The following is a 2,602-nucleotide window of genomic DNA, read 5'->3' on the forward strand; positions in this document are numbered from 1 at the left end:
AGTTGAAATTAACCTTTGATAGACTCATACCAGTAAATAAAAAAATAGCTCACCTTTATCCAGTTGCAGGCAACAGAAAAGAGCAAGTATGTAGAATTTATTCTCTCTCCATCTTTTGGACTCTATCCACACAATCCTGCATCCTCCTCCAAATAAAAGTAAAATATGATTTTCTTCACTTTAGTTTGTACCCACTTACTCTATTCTGCTGAAATACTAGCAGCCCTCATGTCTTTGAATCATCAAATCCACTGGACTTTAAAAAAATCCCCTTTCTGGCTTTTTCTGCTGTTTGTCACTAGTTTATCGAGATCTCTGTCCTCTTGGATTCCTTGATGCCTCACTCTCCTGGTTGTCATGACACCTCAAAGACTCTTCCTTCTTGGTTTTCTTCAGGGGACCCCCTACTGCTTACTAGTTAATTTCTGGCATTCTTTTCATCCTAAGCAAACTACTTTTCCCATTCTCTATACTTTCTCGCCTGGCTGCCCTAATCCATTCTCATTATATCGATTAGCATCAATATACCAAGGACTCCTGAATCTTATCTCTGGCCCAGATTTTTCTTCCAAGCTTTAGACTTACATATCAAACTGGACAGCTTCATTCAGGTATCTCATAAGCACCTCAAGATCAAAATATCTGAAACTAAGGGGGCTCTTTCCTCTTCAAGTTCTTTATCTTCTTTTTTTTTTTTTTTAACCATTCTCTTATCTACAAAAGTTGAAATCTGGAAACCAGTATTAATCTCTTTCTCCATCAGCACTTTCAGCCCCTACTCAGGTGTTAATAATAATAATAATAATAATAATAATAATAATAATGTTGGCCACTGCCAACATTAACTTATATTTCTCAAATCTAGCATTTGTGGAAGATAAATGCAGGATGCTTTATAAGAAGAGAAAAGAAATAGAAGTTAAGATTTGGGGATGTCAGATATATTGATAGTGTGGTTAAACTATGATCAGTCTCACTTTCGTCTTCAAGGTAGACTTATTTGCCCAAAAATGATTCATGCATTTTGATGAGATGCAACTTTTTATTTAAAAAATATTCGTTTGGTGAAGAAATAGTAAATACTGGAAATTAAAACAATGGCAACAACAAAATTGGATTTTGTAACAGAAAGTGCATGTACATCCCCTTCTCCCATTTTCAGAGGATCATGTGGAAATCCAGGGGGTAAAATGTCTTCCTTAAGGTTGTAAAGGCATTTTGCAGTAGATGTGCAGATTTTTAAAATTTTTCTCCTCTGTAGTCTTTCTCCTTCACCACAAGGCTTCCCTTTGCAATGTATGGTGCCCTATGTCTAATAATGAGTCAGGAAGCACTCATAGATTAGGTTCACTGGCACTCTCTGAGTTTTATTCAATCCTTTAGAATATTTATGCTGATTACGGAGGTGGGGTTTGGACAGGACCAGACAAGCCTGACTGCATACATATCTTTACCACCTCTTCCTTCCCTATGCTAGGTATCACCCATCAGTTGCAGCACCGTATTCTTACTGATCCCAGGAACAGCCTCCAAGTCCCTAACACAGGGATCTAGGCAGTCAGTGTCAATCAACTGGGGTCGGTAAGAGAATTGAAACCTATTTTTCATCCCTTCAGGTGTTTGCACCCCTATTTCTTTTGTTTTTGGGGTCACTGCAGTGGGCATGAATGCTCTGAGGAACTTCATCAGCCATTTAACTGGAGTCTTATCATCCATCATGTATCTGTAGATTATTACTGAGTAGGCAGTGCTTTGTTTTAACAGCTCCTGTCTTTCCTGTGCTGAATTTATAATCATCTATGAGATGGGGTGCTGGATATTTATTTCATACCACCCTGGACTTTTCCCATTAATCCAACACTGTGCTGAAGCCTGTGCTGGGTTTTGGACTTATTCTTTGTAGAGTCTGTCAGACAGGAGTGTAGTCCACTTATAGATGGAACAATTTAGGCACCAAGAAGATAAATGTATAGGCAAAAGGCAGAAAGCCAAGAGTGAGTCCCCACTTCCCAAGCTTCAGCACCAACCTAATATACCTTTCTAACACCTATCACACAGTGTTTTCTCAAATTCTCAGCTTTCACATGCAGTTCTTTCTTTATGTTAATTTTCTCAAAGTTTAAAAAAAATGATTTTATGAGTTGATAAATTGTCTGAGGCTCAGCATGCCAGATGGCAGGAGCAGTAGGAGGCCTATCTCATCAGGAGTAGAGAGAGAATGGTGAAGGAATAGAGAAAAGGTAGGAGACACTGTAAAATGATAATGGCGGAATGGAGACTAGGTTATTGTAACAGTTTTAAAAAGAAATTCCTATTGGATTTAAAGATATTTAGCAAATTGATGATAGATATTCATTGTATGATTTCTTTATTTTTAATACTGCCTTGGGGACCTTGAATGAGATTAATAATATCGCTCCTTTTTTTGAGAAGATTAAAATCTCATCAGAGCGATAAATACTTATAAAGGGTTTAGAGAAAAATGTGTGTTGTGTCTCCATCAGTTTGCATGTCTGGAATTGGTATCTCACCCTTCTGATCTTAGGTCTGGGATGGCGCCACTAATGCCATCCCAGTCTGATGCCTGAGACCACCTTGGCAG

This window comes from Homo sapiens, chromosome 12 (assembly GCF_000001405.40).
Source record: "Homo sapiens chromosome 12, GRCh38.p14 Primary Assembly".
NCBI classification, from domain to species: Eukaryota; Metazoa; Chordata; class Mammalia; order Primates; family Hominidae; genus Homo; species Homo sapiens.